Source organism: Homo sapiens, chromosome 1 (assembly GCF_000001405.40).
Source record: "Homo sapiens chromosome 1, GRCh38.p14 Primary Assembly".
Taxonomy (NCBI): Eukaryota; Metazoa; Chordata; class Mammalia; order Primates; family Hominidae; genus Homo; species Homo sapiens.
Window position 1 is genome coordinate 245,335,575 of NC_000001.11, and position 23,739 is coordinate 245,359,313.

At 46.0% G+C, this 23,739-nt stretch overlaps 1 protein-coding gene across 1 annotated transcript in view, besides 1 other annotated feature; it reads left to right on the forward strand.

Annotated features, from left to right (window-relative positions):
- Positions 1–23,739, forward strand: part of KIF26B (kinesin family member 26B) — a 554,448-nt gene that overhangs the window by 180,590 nt on the left and 350,119 nt on the right. The gene's annotated exons all lie outside the window — the stretch shown is intronic.
- Positions 2,213–2,507: a silencer, noted in NCBI's record as "tiled region #12100; HepG2 Repressive non-DNase unmatched - State 23:Low". NCBI's record gives its function as "represses a minimal TATA promoter and a strong SV40 promoter by Sharpr-MPRA in HepG2 cells {active_cell/tissue: HepG2}" and the evidence as "EXISTENCE:reporter gene assay evidence [ECO:0000049][PMID:27701403]".

The following is a 23,739-nucleotide window of genomic DNA, read 5'->3' on the forward strand; positions in this document are numbered from 1 at the left end:
AGTCCCACGCGGGAAAAGGAGAGTGCCACGCGGGGAAAGGAGAGTCCCACGAGGGGAAAGGAGAGTCCCACGAGGGGAAAGGGGGGTCCCACGCGGGGAAAGAAGGGTCCCACGCGGGGAAAGAAGGGTCCCACGTGGGGAAAGAAGAGTCCCACGAGGGGAAAGGAGGGTCCCACGCAGGGAGAGTCCCACGCAGGGAAAGGAGAGTCCCACGCAGGGAAAGGAAGGTCCCACGCAGGGAAAGAAGAGCCCCACGCGGAGAAGGAGGAGTCCCACGAAGGGAAAGGAGGGTCCCACGAAGGGAAAGGAGGGTCCCACGCAGGGAAAGAAGAGTCCCACGCGGGGAGAGCCCCATGCAGGGAAAGAGGGTCCCACGCAGGGAAAGGAGAGTCCCACGCAGGGAAAGGAGGGTCCCACGCAGGGAAAGGAGAGTCCCACGCAGGGAGAGTCCCACGCAGGGAAAGGAGGGTCCCACGCAGGGAAAGGAGAGTCCCACGCAGGGAAAGGAGGGTCCCACGCAGGGAAAGGAGGGTCCCACGCAGGGAAAGAAGAGTCCCACGCAGGGAGAGTCCCATGCAGGGAAAGAAGGTCCCACGCAGGGAAAGGAGAGTCCCACGCAGGGATTGCTGTTCCACTCTGCATAGCCGCTGGGCTTTCTGCTGCACGGATGCCATCTAGAAGAAGCACCATCCACTGTTCTCAGAAAGAAGAGAGAGGAAGGAGACAGGAGTGCGTAGAGTGAGTGGGCCATCAGAAAAAGGACTGCTCTGGGGATGCAGGAGACCCGCTTGTAGGATTTAGGGGCACCGTGCAAGACAGGGGTCATGGTATGCGGGTGCCTCCGACTGGCGGCTGCGTGGTGGATCTGGCCACTTGGTGAAGGTCGCAGTGACCTTGATCTGCTCTGGGGAGGGATGCTGTTTTGCCTTTCTTCACGCACGTGGAATCAGGACTAGCTGGACTGGCAGGAAAAGGTTCTCTCTGGAATAATGGTTTGCTTCTCTGCAGGCTCGTGCGGCGGCTCGTGCGGAGCCCTGTGAGCACTCATTCTTGGGAGAGCACCTGAAGCCGCCTCCAGGTTTAGTCATTTCCTGCTTTTTCCTATACATACCTTCCGTATCAACATGCTTTTTGACCTTCCTCACCTGAATACATCTGATACCCTATGAATTCTTACCTTTCTTTTTCCAAAGTGGCCAGGAACTGAAAATGCAACTTCATTAAACTGGAAAGACTGGCTCTTTGCTAATTAGTCCATTTGAAATGAAACTAGGCTAGGATTTTTGGTTCACCTCCCAGATCACAGGAATGTATTGCCTCATTAACAGTTGAAGAAGCAGTTTTAAATGATCCAAGAACAAGCTGACCACTTGGATTCCTGGGTAGTCGGCTGGGCCTCCTGTCTTTCTGCAGGTTTGTGACTTACCTTTGCTTCCATGGGAAGAAAGGAGGCGGGAAATGAGGTACAAAGAGAAAATTGGAGTGAGTGGGCATTTTGGTTTATCAAGTAGAAGCAATTCTGTGTGTATGTTTGGGAGGATGTGGAGAGCATTTAGAAGTTTTATTTATTTATTTATTTATTTATTTATTTATTTATTTATCTATTTATTTATTTTTGAGAAAGTCTTGCCCTGTCACCCAGGCTGGAGTACAGTAGTGTGATCTCGGCTCACTGCAACCTCTACCTCCTGGGTTCAAGTGATCCTCCTGCTTCAGCCTCCCAAGTAGCTGGGATTACAGGCACCCCCAACCATACCTGGCTAATTTTTGTATTTTAAGTAGGGGTGGCGGGGGTCGGGGGTTCACCACATTGGCCAGGCTGGTCTCGAACTCCTGACTTCAAGTGATCCATCCACCTCGGCCTCCCAAAGTGCTGGGATTACATGTGTGAGCCACCACGCCTGGCCATTCATTTAGCCTGGTGACCTAGAAGTACTTAGGAAATGTGTGTGTGTGTGTGTGTGTGTGTGTGTGTGTGTGTGCACCCGTGTATGAGTATATGTGTTTTGGTTTTCCAATCTTTGGTTCACGAATGTAGTCCATATTCTTAGAACTGACTCACATATAGGAATTCAATAAATATTTATTGAATTAATAAATAAATGACTATGGTGTGTGTGTTTATAGGTGCACACACAAACACACACACAGAGTAACATCTCACCCATAAGTCATTTATCGAGCAACCATAAGTATTTAAAATAAATGACAAATTAGAAAGTCCAGAAGACCATGCAGTGGCTGCATAAAGGTGACAAAGCTCATGCTTGTGTTTCTTTAAAAGAAACTTATCACCCTTCGCAGCCAGGTCTCCTTTAGATAGCGTGCTTGGCCGGGAGCAGATCAGAAATGGCAAACTAAAGATAAAGACAATCACAAAGGCAAAACCAACAAAGCGACAGCTAACAGCTTGACAGGAAGAGAGGGGACAGAAAGCAGACACAGAGTCTCTAAGCACAGCCGTCTGGTTTGGGGCAAACAACTTTTTGCACTTTACCGTGCCTGTGGAAACTATGTCATGCGGCATGGAATGAAATTAATTAACATTCGTAGTAGACGCTGAATCATCAAAAGCTTGAATTATATCTCATAACTTTGTAGGAAGATGAAGTTACTCTAGCAAGATTCCTTCAAAATGGTTTACTTGTTTCTTAAAGAGTACAGGCTTCCATTATGTACACCAGGAGGCAGAAAACTGTGGTCAGCAGACCAAAGCCAGCCTGCTGCTTGTTTTTGTAAATAAAGTTTTATTGGAAACAACCATGCTCATTCATTTACGTGTTTCTGATGGCAACTTCCTCCTTCCCCTCAGCAGAACTGAGTAGTTGAGACAGAAACCATATGGCCTGCAGAGCCAAAAATACTTAATGGTTATTTATAGCAGAAGTTTGCCAGTCCCCAATCCAGATGTTGGGTTCCTCTTGAATGTTGGTTTGTGCTTATGTATACATCTGATTCACTTGCACGCATTACCAAGTGATCCATATACACGAGTGTGAACACATACGCATTTCTGTGTGGTAGTAAGCACAACTAAGTGTGAGCACCACATTCTCAGACATAGCTCTAGAAGAGAGTTTCTAAGAAATTAGCTCTGAGTCTTTTCTGCTTCAGTCAGCTGATGGCATGGAGCAGTATGTTGTAACCTCTGACCCGAAGGGCAAAGGCCTTCTGGAGGAAGTGTACACCCCTCAGAAGCCTCCCTGTACATTCACCATCCCCAAAATAGCTCCTTGAGTAGAGGTGCATCGATCACCCCCAAAGCTTACATAAGATCCTAGCAGTCAGAAGGATTCAGTGATTAGGTATCCCAGACTACATAGGGTCTTGTGGGATATTTCATTGGTACTAGAAGTTGACTGCAATGGCAAGAAAGGTATGCTTCATAGGGTAGAATTTTGCTTTTAGGGTTTTTTTTTTTTTTGAGACGTAATCTCGCTCTGTCCAGGTTGGAGTGCAGTAGTGCTATCTCGGCTCACTGCCACCTCCGTGTCCTGGGTTCAAGTGATTCTCCTGCCTCAGCCTCCTGAGTAGCTAGGATTACAGGCCTGTGCCACCACGCCTGGCTAATTTTTTTGTATTTTTAGTAGAGACGGGGTTTCACCATGTTGGTCAGGCTGGTCTCGAGCTCCTTACCTCGTGATCCACCTGCCTCAGCCTCCCAAAGTGCTGGAATTACAGGCATGAGCCACCGCACCCGGCCTTTTAGGCTATTCTTGTGGCCTTTGTCACTGACTTAATGGATAAAGTTTCTTCTGCTAAGGCGGCCATGTTGGTTTATTATTCTGTACGGATGTGGCTGATACCACATTAGTGTGAGCTTTCACTAGTGCTCACTTTGATAGCCTCCTTGCACAGCCTAGCTAATATATGTCACTGGACTCCATTAATTTTATAGTGTCAGTAGCCCAGAACTCATTAAGGAAGACAAGTTTCTGAGATTGTAGATTCCTATGGGTAAAATATGTATATTATCATAAAATAGGTACTAAAACGTGATTTGGATTTGGGATGTGGAAGTAAGTGCCATTTTATTATTGAGATATTCATATACCATAAAATTGACGTTTTAAAGTAATTTTTAGTATAGTCACAAAATCATGAATATATATTTTCACCTTGTTTTAAATATAAGAAGATTGGTTCATTTTGAAGAATTCTGTGTGACCCATATCAAAGTAGCTGTTGCAGTTGTGTAGAGATTCACACATGTATGCTCTGTCAAGATTTACCAGTTGGCATGTGTGCCATAGGATTTACTGAGTGTGGATTATGACAGTCCTAGGTCCCTTGATTTTATTTTATATACATATCAAATTGCTCTTCCCCATTGGGCCGTGTTGGAGAACACCAGGGCCCAGGGCCCAAGCCTCTAGCCTACCCCAGGCCCAGGGGTTTGAACAACCTCCCTACCTTCTGGAAACCCATTTCCCCCCAATACTGGCTGGAAGGTATGAGGAGTCGTCTTTCTTACTGTCCTTATCACTACAGGAAACAGGGAAAGCATAAGAAAAATGACAAAATGTTCCAGCTGAGCTAGAGTCTCATTGGAGGGTACAATTGTCTCTGAGTATCAGTGGAAGAGTGCCTCCAGGACTCCTACAGAAACTAAAATCCACAAATGCTCAAGTCCCTGGTATAAAATGTCATGGTATTTGCGTATAACCCAGGTACGTCCTCCGGTATATCTGAAATGATGCCTAGATTACCTATAATACCTAATACAATATAAATGCTATATAAATAGTTGTTATTCTGTATTGTTTGAGGAATAATGACAAGGAAAAAAACTCTGTACGTGTTAAGTACAGACGCAACCATCCTTTTTTTTTTTTCTGAATACTTTTAATCCATGGTTGTTTGAATCCATAAATGTGGAACCCACGGATACAGATGGCTGAGTATGTACTAACATATAAATAGGGCTAGCCTTGCTTTTCTGCAGCCCCTGTCCCTAACATCTTATTCTAAGTGGCCCTGGGCAAAGTGACCATTCATTTATTCACTCATTCATTTGTAGGCCCTACTGAGAGCCTACGATGTATACGGCACCATGTACCAGGCCCTGAGAACACAGAGGTAAGATAGACAGGGTCCTGCTTTCATCGGGTTTATATTCCAATGAAGATAAGAGGCATTCAACAACTCTTTATCTAATGAGTTGTACAGCAACCCTTGTGATATGTGCACTTAAAGAAATGTGCAGGGGTTTTGGATAGAAAGGCTCAATGTGGAGACAGACTTGGTCTGGAGGCGGGGCAGCTTCTCTGAGGGTGCGACGTTTCAGCCACGATCTAAGGGAGGGAACAGGGAAATGCACTGCGGTCATCCAGGTGAGAAATGATGGTGGCCTCAGTGCCCAAAGTGGGGACGTCAGTGGATGCAGACAGTGGATTTGAGACGTATTTAGGAGATGGAATTGACTAGCATCATTTTATTGACACTTTTCATTTCTACAGTTTGAGTCCATCCTCCCATCCTCCTTTCCCAATCCCAGTGCCTCAGATGTTCTCGTTTTTCCCTTGGGGTGAGTCTATACTGAAGCCAGATGGTTTCACTCAAACCCATTCAGTGCTCCAGAGTCAAGTGCTGGTCATCGCAGGGGAGCTCCGGAGCTGCGTCTGTAATGTTAGTGACCCTGATTTCTAAAGGGAAGTCTTCTTCAGTCTGTTTCTGAGATTATTCCTGGGAGCTTTAACTGGAAAAGCCAAGGGCTTAAAAAGATGCAGTTTTTTTTTTTTTTTTTTTTTTTTTTTTTTTTTTTGAGACACTGTCTTGCTTTGTCACCCAGGCTAGCCTGCAGTGGCACAGTATGGCTCACCACAGCCTCAACCTCCCAGATTCCAGAGATCCTCCCATTTCAGCCTCCAGAGTAGCTGTGGCTACAGGCACACACCACCACTCTCAGCTAATTTTTTAAAAATTTTTGTAGAGACAAGATCTCACTAGGTTGCCCGGGCTGGTCTCAAACTCCTGGGCTCAAGTGATCCTCCCCCCTTGGCGTCCCAAAGTGCTGGGATTCCAGGAGTGAGCCACTGGGCCCAGCACGGTGCAGTCTTCAGAGAAGGTGAACTCTCTGGGCACCTAGAGAAACTTGTAGGGAAACAAAAGCTTGTTTATAAACTTGGTTCAACACAGGAGACTATGTTCTCCACATTGAAAAGTTCCTTCATCTTTTTTAAAGCATCTAAATGATCTGTGTCTCACTTCCTAAGCAGGCTGGTGGGCAGGGAGGGTCACCAGTTGGGGCAGAGCTCAGAGGGAGGTGCACAGCTGTGCAGTGTCTAAGCTCCTGCGTCTCCTGTCACTTGGTTCCCGTGGCACCATCTACGCCCATCTCCCTCCCCCTTAAGGGTTAGCATGACATTGTATCACAGGGATGTTGATTTTCTTTTCACTTCAGTTCTGGATTTTCAAATTCTCAGACCACATACCAAGTTGAAAGCAATCCTTTGTTTCCTCTTGAACCGTAAACCAGAAATTGTGCTTGGGAAACCATACCAGGTGACTAACTGGAAAACATCCCCAAACCTTGTTAGTCTTTGGCCGTAGACATTTAATTCTGAGCCCTGGATGGATGGTGATATTAAATACAGATTGTGCGCACATTAGTAGTAGAATGTACCCCTGACCAATTTTTCACACATTTAACCAAGTAAATGGCTTCTTGCCTTCAGTGAGTTTTTATTTCAAGACCAGCAACCATTGCACCAAGATGAAGAAGTGAGCCGCGTGGTTTTCTCCATCCAGGGGTGCAGAAAGAAAAGTGCAGAGACAGTCTTCAGTGTTTTTATATAAATTCACTTTTGCAAAAAGTATGTTGCTGTGTAATTAAGAGTGTTAATGATGCTGCCTAAAGCATCTAGGGAGAGCAGTCTGGACAAGGAGAGAATGGGACCGTCACCCACCGGTGGCTCCTCCGTCTATGGCCTCTAGTCATTTTGCTCCCTACCTTTCTTCTGAAGTCAATTCTGGTTTTTGTTTTTGTTTTTGTTTTTTCCCTATTTTTCCCAAAGACCCGGGGCTGGAGGCCTGTAAAGGGACCATGCTACAATTTCTGAGCAATCCAGTCTGGTTTACCAGAATTAGAACTCAGTACTGCAGAACCCTGGGAGGTGATGATGCAGGTCAATGAGGCCTTGGCAAGAAGAAGGGGAGGGAGGGAGGATGGAGACGTCAACCTGACATAGGATTTGGAGAAGAGTCAGAGATTAAGAATTTAGATTAATGTGCCAGGCGCCGTGGCTCATGCCTGTAATCCCAACACTTTGGGAGGCTAAGGTGGCAGATCGCCTGAGGTCAGGAGTTCAAGACCAGCCTGGCCAACATGGTGAAACCCCGTCTCTGCTAAAAATACAAAAATTAGCCGAGTGTGGTGGTGGGCGCCTGTAATTCCAGCTACTTGGGAGGCTGAGGCAGGAGAATTGCTTTAAGCTGGGAGGCGGAGCTTGCAGTGAGCCGAGATCACACCACTGCACTCCAGCCTGGGCAACAGAGCGAGACTCCATCTCAAAAAAAAAAAAAAAGAATTTAGATTAGTGTTTATTTTGGAAAGGGAGAGCCATAAATATATATTTCAGGTGTCTGTCTTCACTATAAGTTTGTTTATGGTTGAATTTGATAAATGACTTCCTTTGGTCTGTGGAGTGTATTAGTTATTTGGGTGTGATGTGTTGGAAGAAGATAGTTAATGCATTTACAGGAGGATCATGTGAGATTTCAGATCAGGGCCACCTCATGCCTTTAATACATAAAAACCATTTAAAACATTAAAAAGTTCCATGCAATCTTTTTTTTTTTTCCTACCACAATTTATGTCTTTATGAGGAATATCTCCATTCTGCCTCTGCTCTGCCAGGGTAATTATTATCCTGTATACACTCAGGTCTGTGTTCAAATCAGCATAACGAAGGCTGCTATGAAAATGAATATAGAATTTTCATAAAGTTCATGCTAAATTCTTAAACTTTAGCTTTTACATTTTTGGCAGTAGGTTATAGGTAGGAGTCATCTTTGTAATTGACATTTAAACGCAATTTTTCTTCTCATAATTGATAACGACTTCATTCGTGCCAGCCGCAAAACCCAGTGTATTATTCTTGTCAGTGCTTGACGGTTTTGACAGGCCAGAAAAATTGCAAGTAAAATAGATATATTTGGGCGTGAGATGTTGACTTATAATTCATGAAGCTGCAACCTTCCACCTGTAAAGGAGAAGAATTGGCAGAGGTATGGTTTTGATTTATGTGTTGAAAGACAGAAAACAAATAAGAAAACCTTTGTTCTGCTGTCACAACTGATGAAGGTAACAGTGTTAAAAAATAATGAAATTCACAATACTTCCTACACATCCAGTCCTCTGTAGCTGCAATTCGGGGGGGCCAAGGGCTTCCTTAGCAGAATCTCTGGGCTTTCTTGGGGTGCAGGTAGGGCTCTGGCCTTGCTATGCTTTAACTAGAACTACTGTGATTTTTTTTCCTTCCTTCCCTCCTTCCTCCCTGCCTCGCTGCCTCCCTCCCTCCCTCTTTTCTTTCTTTCCTTCTCTTTTTTCCTTTCTTTCTCTCCCTGTTTCTCTGTCTCTCCTTCCCCCTCCCTGTCTCCCTCCCTATCTCTTTCTTTCCTTTTCTTTTTTCTCTCCCTGTTTCTCTGTCTCTCCTCCCTTCCTCCCTCTCTCCTTTCTTTATTTTTCTTCCATCTCTTAATTTCATTCATTCATTAGCCTTCTGTGTAAGATTTTGTTTGGAAAAAAAAGAGTCATATCCCCCTTTAAAAACAGTTCATAGAAATGTATCCTCTAGTAGTCCCAGCTGCTCGGGAGGCTGAGGCAGGAGAGTGGCGTGAACCCGGAGGGCGGAGCCTGCAGTGAGCCGAGATCGCGCCACTGCACTCCAGCCTGGGTGACTGAGCTAGACTCCGTCTCAAAAAAAAAAAAAAAAAAAAAAAAAAAGGAAATGTATCCTGTACATGAATGTGGATAATGAGCTTTCCTGGCTGGAAAAGGGCAATCACTCTGGCTTCTGGGATGACCCTGGAGTCCTTCTCTGCTTCAGTAATTGCCACACTCCTGGGCTCCGCCACTTCTCTATTGCCCAGTTCTTCTGCTGGGATGCTGGCCTTCCGCCAGGCAGCCTTAGGTTCTGCTTAGACGCACAGATAATCTTTACCAGTGTGTGAGAAGCCTGAGGATACAGACAGACTGCATACCGCGGCCATGTGTTGTGTGAGTGGTATCAGGCTGGACGTATCCCTTGACAACTTGACTTTTTAGCTCACAGTTACATTTTTCGGACTGATCTACGTTGATTCGTGGAAAAACAGGTGATACCGCTTCTTTCCTTCTATCCCCCGGCTTCAGTTGAGTTCATTCTATACCCCACCCGATGCCTCCGCGTACACACTGTAGCTAATTCTGCAGGAGATGGAGGGTTCCATGGTATCTTCACACGTGGAGATGGCACTACATTCGTATTCTGAGCTATTCCCCAGCAGCAAGGGTAAATTTTCTTCTCTTGCATTCTCTCGCTCAGTCAACCTTGTGACCATTGACTCATATTTGAATGTCATGTTTGGGCCATAGGCGCAAGTGAGGAGATGCTCACGCTGGTTACCTTGCAGGTGTTTTCTATAATGAAGAGCCCACAAGCCCTCACCCCACCCCTGCCCTACCCGCAGCTGGAGTGAAGGTGGCGCCCCAGAGGCCACTCCTGGGAGAAACCTCATCCCCTCCCTCCTTCTGCGACTTCACAGCCTCACACACAGTTGTCTGGGAAACATCAGATCTAACCACCTCGAGCCTTGCGTCTCTGTTTATGCCTCTCCCAACAGGAAGCTGAGACTCGGAAAATCCTCGTCCCCCTCCGCACCTCTCTCCTACTCACCACGCCTTTCCACGGGAACACACAGCACGTTATCAGCAAAATTCCCCACACCCTCAGCGCCTTTCCTGAGAGGTCCTCGTGATGGTGTGGATCTGTGTCCCTGCCCACATCTCATGTTCAGTTGTGATCCCAGCGTGGGAGGTGGGGCCTGGTGGGAGGTGGCTGGATCTCGGGGGTGGTTTCTCACGAATGGCTAAGCACCGTTCCCCTTGCTGCTGTTCTCGTGATAGTGAGTGAGTTCTCGTGAGATCTGGTTGTTTACAAGTGTGTGGCGCCTCCTTCCTTGCTCTTTCTTGCTCCTGCTTTCACGGTGTAAACTGCCTGCTCCCACTTTGCCTTCTGCCGCGATTGGAAGCTGCCTGAGGCCTCCCCAGAAGCAGATGCCACCATGCTTCCTGGACAGCCTGTAGAACCGTGCGCCAGTGAAACCTCTCTTCTTGTAAATTCCCCAGTCTCAGGTATTTCTTTTTCTTTCTTTCTTTCTTTTTTTTTTTTTTTGAGACAGAGTTTTACCCTGTTTCCCAGGCTGAAGTGCAGTGGCATGATCTCGGCTCACTGCAACTTCTGCCCCCTGGGTTCAAGCGATTCTCCTGCCTCAGCCTCCCGAGTAGCCGGGATTACAGGCACCTGCCACCACACCTGGCTAATTTTTTTTTGTGTGTGTGTATTTTTAGTAGAGTCAGGGTTTCACCATCTTGGCCAGGCTGGTCTTGAACTCCTGACCTCGTGATCCACCTGCCTCGGCCTCCCAAAGTGCTGGGATAACAGGCGTGAGCCACCGCACCTGGCCCTCAGGTATTTTTTTATAGCAATGCAAGAACAGACTAATACAGTCCCTTTACCTTATCTTCCTAACTGCTCCCCGAAGTCCTCTCAAGCCACATCTGCTTTGTCCCCACACCCTGAACCACCACGTTTGGTGCTAGCGCCTCATCACTGCTCCATGATCATCCTTCCCTCCTCCTGGAGACCCCTGGCTTTGCATCTCTGGCCACCAGATCATTGTTGCAGTCATCTATTCATCTCTGATCCATGCCACCTTGTTCCTTGTGGATTGACGCTCCTGGAGTGCTATCAGTACACCAACCCTACTTGTCAGACAGTAACACCTGTGATTTCAGTGTTCTTGTAGACAATCCTTCGGTACTCTGGCTTCTCAGGTCCTTAATCTCCTCTTCTCCGATGACCTTGTTCTTCACTCAACCTCAGCCCCCCATTTCCGTAACTATACCCTAGAGCTTATTACCGGTTGTAAAGACTGATAATGCAGTCATTATCTGTTATGCTCCAGCTCCATCATCTCATTTCAAGCATCCCATTCTCTGATCACCACCTCTTTCTTCTCTCCTAAAACCTTGACTGAAAACAATTCTTCCACCTCACTGAAGTGCAAAATCCATCCATCCTATCATCTTTTCCCCCTTTCTCACCTACCTCATGTCTTCATGTCTCTCATTGTCTAGTTTGGAGTCCTTGATTATCTAATCATTACCTTGCTTTACTATCTTATAACATTAACTTCTTTACCCATCTCTCTCTTCATCCCACTCTCCTTGCAAAACTACAGCCTTGGTAAAATCCAGTTGCCCATGTCCTCTGTACCTGTCTGTGCCCAGCTGAGCCTGGGTGGAACAGAACACAGCCGTGGTGACTGTTTCCAGTTTATGACCATTAACTTCTAGTGGGCTCGAGCACCCTCTGGCAGAGCGTTCTCCTCTTTCTGTATCATCATTTCTTCTCTCTTGATTGAATCACTCCTTTTAGCATACAAAAATGCTATTATAACTCCCAACTTAAAAAATAAATTTCTCTTAACCTCACACATCTCATTAACTACTGTCCCCTTTCTTTTCTTTCTTTCTTTCTTTCTTTTTTTTTAGAGACAGGGTCTTACCTGTCACCCAGGCTGGAGCGTAGTGGCGTAACCACAGCTCACTGTAGCCCTGTAGCCTTGAACTCCTGGGCTCAAGTCATCCTCCTTCATCAGCCTCCAAAGTAGCTGGTATTACAGGTGCATGCTACCATACCCGGCTAATTTTTAAATTTTTTTTGAGAGATGGGGTCTTGCTACATTTTCCAGGCTGGTCTTGAACTCCCGGGCTCAAGCAATCCTCCTGTCTCCCCCTAAACGGATAGCAGGCGTGAGCCACTGCACTTGGCCTGTTCCATTTCTTTGATTATCTTTGCAGCAAATTTATTTTTAAAATGCGTGTTTATACTCTCTGTTTCCAGTTTCTCATCTCTATCCTCTCTTGAACCCACTCCATTTATCTTTTAGCTGCCACCACTCAATCAAAAGCTCTTATGAAGGTCACTGATGATAATCAAGACTAAATAACATTTGTAATAGATAATAATTGTAATCTGATCATTATAACACGTTCATTCATTCTACAAATATTTGTTGACTGGCACCTACTATGTGCCAGTTACTGTTCTAAGTGTTTTACGTGTATTCACTTGCTTAAGCCCTAAGGCGGGTACCGTTATTTTCCCCATGTTATGGGTGAGGAAACTGAGAAACAGAGAGGTTGAAGAATTTACCTTCTATGCCATAAGTGGTATAAAATGGTCAGTTCTCAGTCCTCATTTTACTTGATCTATCTGCAGCATTTGCCCGTAGATCATTCCCTCCTTCCTGGATGACTTTCTTTGCCTTGTTTTCTGAACATCACTTTTTGATTTCTCCTTTGAGCTCACTACCTATTCCTTCTCAATACCTTGTGCTGGTTTCCTCTCATCTGCTCTAAATAAATCGTGGAATGATCATTCATCAGACCTTTGCTCTGCCTGCACTGACTCCCTATGCCATCCCTCCCAGGCCCGTAACTTCCAATGCTATCAGTATATTATTGATTTGCAAAATTGTATCCCTAGCCTGGACCTTGACCCTGAACTTGAGACTGTTGGTCTTAGTCTGCTCAGGCTGATATAAAAAAACACCACAGTCTGGGTGGCTTATAAACGACAGAAATGTATGTATTTCTTACAGTTCTGGAGACTGGGAAGTCCAAGACCAAGGCACCAGCAACTTGAGTGTCTGAGGAGGGCCCTCTTGTTCATAGATGGCACATTATTGTGTTTTCACACAGTGGAGGGGGCGAGGAAGCTCTCTGGGTCCCCTTTCTAAGAGCACTAATGTCATTCCTAATGACTCCACCCTCATGACCTGATCACCTTCCAAAGGCTTTACCTCCAGCCATCATGTTGGGGACTAGGTTTCAATATATGAATTCTGTGGGGCAACACCACGTTCAGTTTACAGCGGTCTCTCTGGCCTCATGTCCAACCATCTCCCCTCCTCATTCATCCCACTCCAGCCACGCCGGCCTCTTGCTGTTCCCAGTTACGCCAACTCGCCCCCACCCAGTCCTTCATGTCTGCCTGCTCCCCTGCCTGGGTCGCTTCCCCACGATGCCTGCTGTGGCTCACAGCCTCACTGCCTTCCGGTCTCTGCTCCAGTGTCCCTGAATAGAGTCCAACTCTGAGCATGCTGTGGAAAAGGGCCTCATTCCAATACACAAAGTCCCTTTTCCCATGCCCTGCCTTACTGTTCTCCATAGGTCACATGTGACGTGACCTGTGTGTGCTTGTTTACTGGTTTTGCTTCAGAAGAGACCTCCGTGAGAGCAGGGACCTTGGTTTGTTCATGGCTCTATCGCACAACTGGGTATAATAGGTGCTCGATAAATATTCTGTTGAATGAATCAATGAAGTTGCCACAGGGAAGGCATAGACATATGTCTTTCAAAACTCCATGTGCTTGGTCTTTTTAAAAGTAAATTTCTTTGATTGTAAATAGATTCACATTGATACTTGAATAAAATCATAAAGGTATGTCTTCTTTCCTCTTCCTTTAAGTTTTAAGACACTTATAAATGTACCTGAAATTGTAATAAAAGATCCCAGAGGATTTTACAGCATGTTTTCCGTTGATGGTAATGGATGGAAATAATTTAAATAATAACATTAACAGGTTGTTTTACTACAGGACCACAATAATTTTAAAAGACAAACTTGAATAATCCTGTTTTACCACATCCCTAAACCTATGAAACACACAGTACTCACTCATTAATGTTGATTTGTTTAAGAGAAATAAACTTCAAAAAAAAAAAAAAAAAAAAGCCAACAAAACTCACTCTGATATTAACTGCCTCGGGTTTAAAGGTTTTTTCAGAATGCCTCAGTAATACTGGCTTAATGAATTAGGTTCTAAGAAAAATGGCCAGGCATAGTTAACAATAAATCAGGTTATACTATTTGCAGAAAAAGCAACTAAAACTCTCCTTGTAAATAATAATGTGGAAAGATCTGGTATTAATCAAGCCACTGTCTACAGCTGAGCTCTGTTTTCAGCTTCTGAACACAGTGGAGTTAATATTGAGCATATCTTTGTTTCAAGTATAATGAACACAATTCTGCAGTCCTTTGAGAACAGGCTTTTGTGAAAAATCAGTAAGGAATTGCACCTAAAACCCATTTACAAGATCATACTCCCAAAGGCTTTGTCTTAGAGCAGTTTTTAAAATCTTGTTGGTAACCTCCTGACCACATCATTGGGAGTACAAAAAAGTGCAGAGAGTATATATATATATATTTTTTTTTCATAAATACTTGCACATCACATTTCCCCTACGGAAATTCAACCAGCGGTTCCAAAGACTGCTGGGCTGGAGTTGTCCGGGTTGGTGGACCCGCCTGAGTCTGGGGTAGCTTAGCTTGTTCAGAGGTGTGCACAGGGCTGAGGACCTTCTGTGCGTAGCAGAGTCATTCATCTGGTCAATGGCCACATGAAGACACAGATCTTGCCATATCAGATTCTCCTTCTTTCTACTGGAGGTCTGGTGACTTTACCTGTGTTAGTTCAGGCACCTCTGGATAACTTAAGGACTCACCAAGCGGCAGGTCCTTATGTAGCTCCACAGACCACCATGAAACCCTTCGACCTTTTCTGAAGTCTGCCTTACGTCTTGGGCCACTGAACATTCTGCCAGTCCTGAAGAACGTGTTGATTCCAGTCTCATCCCAGTGCAAAGTGTCCTTCTCATCTTTGGGCTGCTGTCCCCTGAGCAGGAATGCCGTCCCCACAGCTGATCTTTGACCATGGGTAGACTCTGGTCTACCATATGACCTGGGACCATCAAAGCCCAGGTTAAGCTGCATCCCAAGTGTTTTTCTAGCCAGCCATGCCCTGGGGGTACTTTCCATTTTATTGGTCACGGAGCACTCAGGCCCTGCTCCAGGATCCCAGGTATGGTCTCTGGGGAAAACTGACCACAGGTTGTGCAGGAGGAACCACCAGACCTGCCCGAGAGGGGACATCTCTTCTCTTTGGTCTGCTGCTTTGAGACAATTCCAAGATCGCAGTGTATATATGTGTGAAGTCTTCATGGGTAACTATCTCCAAAGCATTTAATGATTCTCTTTCCTTGGCTTATAAGTAGGCTGATAATGGAAGTTCAAATGATGTGGGACTCTGTTGGTTTGTCCTTCTGGAAAATCCCACTCCTCTTCCTGGTCACCAAAGCAGTGAGGGGAGGAGGGCAAGGAATTGACTCCTCACATGTATTCTAACAAGCATGGAACAGAGCACACAAGACATGGATCTTACTGTAGACCGGGGAAGACACTGAGCCACTTCTGGCTTTATCTCTTCTGACCTATGCATTGGGATAAACTTAGCTGAGCGCGTTTCCCTGTCCGCATGGAGGGTCTGGAAAATGAGCCGGACATTGAGCTGGGCTTCATACTTTCATCTTTGCCTCTCTCTAGAGCCAAACAAAGGCTTACCTGGGTGGGCCCTTTTTGGTCCTGTTTTTCTGTCATCGCTGTTGATACGTGGGCCTTGAGCTCCCTAGTTGCAAACTGGGAAGTGCATTGAATGAGAAGTGTGTGGCTTCTTCCCTGGCTATGCCTTTTCACGTGTTAAACATAGGGAAAACTCAGCTATGCCTTTTCATGTCTTAAACAAAGAGAAAACTCAGCTATGCCTTTTCCCGTCTTAAACATAGGGAAAACTCAGCTATGCCTTTTCACGTGTTAAACATAGGGAAAACTCAGCATTTGTAATAACATGTTATGTTTATAGAGCTCTTCACAAAGTGCTTTGATGTCTGTGATTCCATTTAATCTTTACATCAGCAGCAGGGGATAAGTGTTATCCCAGTCTTACTGATGAGGAAACCAAGGCTCAAGAAGATTGAATGATTTGGCCAAGGCTGTGACACTAGAAAAGGCAAAGCTTGGACTAAAACCCAGGTCTTCAGAATTCAGGTCCAGAGCTCTGGCCAGTCTGTTGACTCCTTCATCAGCTCCCAAGATGAAGATGAGGAGCTATTTTCTGTTTTGAGCCTTTGATTACAGCTTGTTTTGTAATACACCATAAAGGTTGAGACCATGTTTGTTTCTAGCACTTACAAAAAGACCTGGCCCAATTAGACACTTAATAAGTGTTTTATAAATGAATGAAATTAGTGAGTGAAGAGGTAAATGAATGGATATATTGAATGAATAGATTAACTAGGCAAAAACCTACCTGTCTGCATTTATATTGGAAAGCACTACATGAAAAAATGAGATTTGAAAGTTTTAGAATGTGGCTGTGTGTGTGAGAGAGATCGTCCCTCAATCTTTCATTTCTTCTGATTGTCTATCAGTAGGGAAGGTCCAAGTCCCACCCATACTGTGTTTCTCAAATATTCTCAAATTGTATTGAAACCTGTAACCAAAACCAAAGTTAAAATTGATTTTAAAGTGTCTTCTAGGTTTTTATTCTACCATTCCTACCTCCAGTTTTTTGTTTGTTTGTTTGTTTGTGTTCCTTTTTGAGACAGAGTCTCATTCCTTCACTCAGACTGGAGGGCAATGGTGCGATCTCAGCTCACTGCAACCTCCGCCTCCCAGGCTCAAGCAATTCTCCTGCCTCAGCCTCCTGAGTAGCTGGGATTACAGGCACCCACCACCACACCTGGCTAATTTTTGTATTTTCAGTAGAGATGGGTTTTCACAATGTTGGCCAGGTTGGTCTCAAACTCCTAACTGAAAGTAATCCATCAACCTTGGCCTCGCCAAGTGCTGAGATTATAGGCGTGAACCACTGTGCCTGGCCCACCTACTTCCAGTTTAAAGTCACCTGGGAAATACTTGGAGTACAGTTTTGTCATTTTAATCCTTTTTTGGACCACAACAATCACTTTACGAACATTTTTTTAACTTTTTCAGAATCGATTCAAGGAAAAGTGATAGAGGCAGGTGGGGACGGGGAGGTGAGTTTTCTTCGCATTTTTGGGAATCTCAACTCCTGAGCCTGTCTTACTAGTACGGGTTCCCCAACCCCACGACTAGAACTATCTTAGTGGTTTCTTCCTAAAGAGATGTACACGTGTGTGTGTGTGTGTGTGTGGTGGGCGTGGGTGGGTGTGTAGAGTAGGGAAAAGGTGAGAAGTGGCTCTCTTGCTATAGACTTTTGCTTTTTACTCTTTTCCACTGAGTCTGCTCATATTATTCATACGATTATCACGTTAGAGGTTTTGGAGTTGTAGTGGCTATCGTTTTAAGTTTCTTGTAGAATTAATTTATATAAGTAGACAATGTATATGAATTGATTGATTCAAATCTGTATCTTACAGGATCTGTTAAAGATAGTCAGAAGGCTGTCTTTTAAAATGTGAGGACAAATCAGTTTAACAGTATAGCAGAGAAGTACAGCTGTGCTCTGTCAAACTCTAGGCTCCTGTGTGTTGGAATGACTAGAGGCAGCAGGGAGAGGGGTCCTGGTTTACTCACCCCCTCTCCCTCTTTCACATACTAGCTTGGGCTTGTTGTGGTTGAGGTGGTGTGGGAACATCTAGAAGGTTCATTCAAAAAAGACAGCCTCAGCCTTTGCTCAGACGCTCAAGATGTTCTGCCGGCTCTCCCTACCATGAAAGTTCTCTGAGAAGCCAGTAAAGATGGCAGCCTCTAAAGAGGTTAGCTTTATTTGGTGGAGGGGCGGTAGGGGTGGCACACACCGAGGAAGATTCGGATCGTGGCACATCCTTGTGGTCAGGCCCAGAAATCCTCATTGCCCTGCAGCCACCCAGGTCATGATTCATGAGGTGGGGGTCTAAGCTGAGAATGGCTGGCCGGTTCTCTGACTTCGTGGGTGTGTAATAGTTGGTTGCAACTGACTTCTCAAGAATGACAGTTACTGACTGGAGCTGGCAGAGAGGTGTGGCCAAGTTCCTGGAGAAATGCTTCCTGCTCCTCCCGCCCTCCCCACCACCATCCTGCTGTATTTAAAGCTGCTTTGGTGATGCTTTGCTCATCTCAGTGAATTTTCAGTTCAGACCTTTTCACTAAGGATCATTATGGAAGAAAGAGGGGTAAGAAGTGTGGCTGAGTAGCCTAGGATTAATTCATCAGTCCCCAAATAAGCAAACACGATGTCTCAGGATGGACGGTGAAATTCTGGACCTCACAGGTAGGTCTTGGAGTTGTTAGTTGTGAATGTAGACCCCCAAGTTCAGATGTTGCCAGGATTTTACATCCTCTGCTTAAGGCTGTGTTGTTATTTCTGATGTTTATGAGTGAAAACAAAAACATACAGCTCAGGTCCTTATCCTCTGAGGGTCTCCTCAGCCTGGGGCACCTCCCGCCAAACGCTTCATGACTCCCCCACCAAGCACATCCTGGCACAATCTGGCATGAGGTCTGAGCTACATAAATGTGGTTTTATGAGGGAACAAAGCAAGTTTTGGTTTTCTTTAGAATTGTACGAAATTATACCTTCAAGATGACTTTGCCTTATCGTGGCTTTTGTTTTGCTTCTCCGAGAAGGAAACTACAAAGTTACCATGATGTAAATCCGGCCAGAGGCTTGAAGTGATTTCATAGTAAAAGCCACCTCAGCCGTCCCCTCTGAAACCCAGGCCAAGAGGCAGAGATGCCAATGACAGGCTCTGTGACCAGCCTCGTAAGCCATGAACCAGATCCACGGTTTCACATGGCCAGGACCTCAGGGCCGCATCAGCCTCTTCCACCACACTCTCTCGTGAACAGCTGGTGACACTGTCAGCGGCGCCTCTGTCACAAGGAAGGGCAATGTCCTGTGTAGCCAGATGGCGGGGGAGTTGGAGGCTGGGCCAGGCGGTCAGGATCTGCATTCCACCAGCCCGTGGGGTTTTCATAGCCAGGGGCACTGTGTCCACCTTGGGCGTGGCCATACACAGCCACCACTTCTAACCCCATTGCCAGCTACAACGGAAGAGAGCATGCTGTTTAGAGTTCAGTACCTCCACATAAGGGAAACTGAGGTAGAGGAGAGCCGGCATTAGCTTCTGGGCTTAGAACACCCACCTTGCCCTCCTGCATCGAGATTCATCTCCAGTGAGAGCAGGTGAGAAGGAATCAGAGGAGAGCACCTAGGCCCGGGTGTCAACCTTGACCCCACGGACATCTAGGACTGGATGATTTTTATTTTATTTTATTTATTTATTTATTTTTGAGACGGAGTCTCGCTCTGTCACCCAGGCTAGAGTGCACTGGCGCGATCTCGGCTCGCTGCAACCTATGCCTTTCAGGTTCAAGCGATCCTCCTGCCTCAGCCTCCTGAGTGGCTGGGGCTACAGGCACCCACCACCACACCTGGCTAATTTTTTGTATTTTGTTTAGTAGAGACAGGGTCTCACCATGTTGGCCAGGCTGGTCTCGAACTCCTGACCTCAGGTGGTCCGCCCATCTCGGCCTCCCAAAGTGCTGGGATTACAGGCGTGAGCCACTGCGCCCGGCCAGTGATTCTTTTTTCAGGTGCTGGGATGCGGGGTGCTGCTCTGTACAGTGTATGATGTCTAGCTGCATCCCTGGCCTCTACTCACTAGACGTCAGTAGCCCTCTCCCAGTTATGACAACCAAAAATGTCTCCAGATATTTCCTAATGTCCCCTGAGCATCAAAATCACCATCTCCAGCCTGGGCAACATGGCGAAACTCCATCTCTACAAAAAATACAAAAATGAGCCAGGCATGGTGGTGTGCAGCTGTAGTCCCAGCTATTTGGAAGCCTGAGGTGGGAGGACCATTTGAGCCCAGGAGAGTGAGGCTGCAGTGAGCTGTGATCACGCCACTGCATTTCAGCCTGGGCAACACAGTGAGACCCTGTCTCAAAAAAAAAAAAAAAAAGAAGAAGAAGAAGAAAGAATTTAAAAAACTTACCAGCGGTCAAGAACCATTGGAGTAGAGAGAGAATTTGGTGAAAAGACATCTGCATTCTACCTTTAGTCTCTGGGCTATGTCTCCGGGGCTATTTATCATTGTCTTGAATTATTTTGTATAATAAGCAGCAGCCCCCACGCTCAGGTGTTTGGAGGAGTTGCAATTCACTGGGTGGAGGGTAGAGCGTCTCATGAAATCCTCGGCTCCTGTCTGAAGGCCACAGCTGGGGTGAGGCCCTTGAATGGGAGAGGCAGATGTCCCTGTCTACTTCTTCCTTCTCCCTGCCTCCTCTTGGCCTTCCTTCCCATCCCCTCCTCTGTGACAGCACACCACACCGTCACCTGGGTGCTCGTCAGCACGCAGATTCCAGAGCCCGGCTCCCCAGAGATTCTGATACAGGGGGTCTGAGAGGGGACCTGGAAACCTGCCTCACTGTGAGCTTCCCAAGTGACTCTGCGCAGGGGGCGTGGTGAGGTCACACTTTGAGAAACAGGCCCTAGAGGCTTTTCTGAACACACGAGCCCTCCCAGTACTCCCAGGACACTAAAGTGTAGCAGAAACAAGCAAAAAAACACAACTATACTAGCAAACGTGACAAAAGCAAAAAGGGATAAAAATTCCTAAGAAAGGCCAGGCACAGTGGCTCATGCCTGTATTCCCAGCACTTTGGGAGGCTGAGGTGGGTGGATCACCTGAGGTCAGGAGTTCGAGAGCAGCCTGGCCAACATGGTGAAACTCCGTCTCTACTAAAAGTACAAAAATTAGCTGGGCGTGGTGGCGGGCGCCTGTGATCCCAAGGTACTGGGGAGGCTGAGGCAGGAGAATTGCTTGAACCTAGGAGGCAGAGGTTGCAGTGAGCCGAGATTGCACCATTGTACTCCAGCCTGGGTGAGAGAGTGAGACTCTGTCTCAAAAGAAAAAAAAAATTAAAAAATTCCTAAGAAAGATGAAGCTATTCAATGTGGGAACCTCTCTCACTGAAAATGGATTCATCGAGTCATTGATTGATTCGACACATGGCTTCTGTGTGCCTACTTGACTTCAGGCATTATTCTAGGCATGACGCATTCCGCAGTGAACAACACAGACAAATGTGCCTGCTGTCACCTAGTTTATATTTTGCAGGGGGAGACAGACAATGAACGGAATGTAGTTAGAAGGTGGCCATGCTGTAGAGAGAATTAAAGCAGAGAAAGGTGGTTAGGGAGTGTTGGGGCTAGTTTGCAGTATCACTAGATGATCCAGGAAGGCCTCGTTGAAAAGGTGATCCTTGAGACCTTGAAGGCGGTAAGAGATGGCCAGGCAGATATCTGCAGGTGAGAGTTTTCTGGGCAGGAGGAACAGCAAGTACAATGTCACTGAGCTGGGAGTGGACATTCCTGGTGTGTTCAAGGAACAGCCAGAAGGCTTTCATGGCTGGTTCAGGCTGAGTCAGGGAACAAGTGTAGGAGCTGAGGGCAGAGAGGGACCAGGAGGCCGAGTCCTGCAGAGCCCATGGCAGGGACATTGACTTTGACTCTGAAGGAAGTGGGGCGGGGGCCAGGGGAGGATTTTAAGCCGAGGACTGGCAGGATCAGATTTAAGATTGAAAAGGATCACCTTGTCTGTTTTCTTGAGAGTGGACTCCAGGTGGGTAAGAGTAGAAGTTATCATTACTATTCAAATTATGGCACGGTTTCTGCCCCCTAGGAATTCACTGTGATGGTGGAGATAGAACATGTACAGCTTAAGTAAGGAAATGTTTGCTAAGTGCTATGAATGACTTAGAGAAGTGCTGTGTGAGTCAGTGAAGGGAGACATCCCTTCTGGGAGTCAGACTTCGCGGAAGAGCGGGGCCTTAGGATGAATGAACAAGACTTTGGTTTTTTTAGTGTGATACATAATTCACCATGCACATCCAGTGAATGGTACACATTTAAAGCGTACACTTTGATATTTTTGGACATATGTATCCACCCATGACGCTATCCCCACAATTATAATACTGCACATATCCATGACCCCCAAAAGTTTTCTCATGGTTGATGAGGGAGAGAGGGAGTTATCATCAGGGCAGGAACCAAAGTGAAGGTGCAGAGGCTGGGAAATGTAGGGGCTTCCATGAGACAGAGGGAGGCTGGTGCTGGTGCTCCTGGGGGAAGTGAGGGACGTGTGACAAGGTGGCCTGAAGAAAATTGTGTGGGGCCCAAAACACTGGGTCACAGGGGAATGGGGCAAGTACTTAAATTTTTGTAGGACATGGTCAAATGATGTATTTGTTAAAATTCCATCTTTTTTCTTTTTTGTGTTGAGACATGGTCTCGCTCTGCTGCCCAGATTAGATGGCAGTGGCGTCATCATAGCTCACTGCATCCTCAGCCTCCTGGGCTCAAGGGATCCTCCCACCTCAGCCTCCTGAGTAGCTGGGACTAAAGGCATGCACCACCGCACCTGGCTAATTTTTGTATTTTTTGTAGTTGGGATTTCACCATGTTGCCCAGGCTGGTCTCGAACTTCAGATCTGCCCACCTCAGTTTCCCAAAGTGTGGGGATTACAGGCGTGAGCCACCATACCCTGCCAAAATTTTACCTTTTAAAAACAATGGCAACACCACCAAATTTTAGGTATTTAATCTTTTTGTAGTAAGTTTAAGAAAACACAGCCAAGGGCGGATCATGAGGTCAGGAAATCGAGACCATCCTGGCTAGCAGAGTGAAACCCTGTCTCTAATAAAAATACAAAATATTAGCCAGGCGTGGTGATGGGTGCCTGTAGTCCCAGCTACTCGGGAGGCTGAGGCAGGAGAATGGTGTGAACCTGGGAGGCCGAGCTTGCAGTGAGCCGAGATCGCGCCACTGTACTCCAGCCTGGGCTACAGAGTGAGACTCCGTCTCAAAACAAAACAAAACAAAACAAAACAGCCAAGTACATTTATGCAGCATTTCATGAATATGAAGTCAATTAAAAGAAAAAGAAACATTAAGCAATTTTATAATTAGATAATTAACAGAATCCTTGATAGCCTTATACTAATACAACTACTTGCAGATTGAAAATAATTCCATTTGCTGCCTGCTGGCACATTAAAGCCTACATGTAAAAAATACATCAAGTCTAGATGGGCTTCAGTCATTTGAAAGTAATATTTTAGTGCATTCTAGTATAATCTTGATTAGTGCTTACATGCGTATAGTTCAGCACTTTATTTTGTGTCATGTTGAACATGAACTTTAAAGTTAAGGGAAACATTTTAAGTACGTAGTAGGAATCTACTTTCCCATCTTAAGCTCTGAATCTATTTGTGAAGGGATCCTATTTCCCAACAGCCAAGGGATATACTGGAGAACAAGATTTTCAGGGTTGAAGATACGCTGATGTGAAATCAGGTTTCTCTCTCTTTTTTTTTTTCTTGAGATGGAGTCACGCTCTGTTGCTCAGGCTGGAGTGCAGTGGCGCAGTCTCGGCTCACTGCAGCCTCCGCCTCCTGTGTTCCAGTGATTCTCCTGCCTCAGCCTCCCGGGTAGCTGGGATTACAGGCACGCACCACCACACCTGGTTAATTTTTGTATTTTTAGTAGAGACGGGGTTTCACTATGTTGGCCAGGCTGGTCTCGAACTCCTGACCTCAAGTGATCCTCCTGCCTCGGCCTCCCAAAGGGCTAGGGTTGCAAGAGTGAGCCACCGCGTC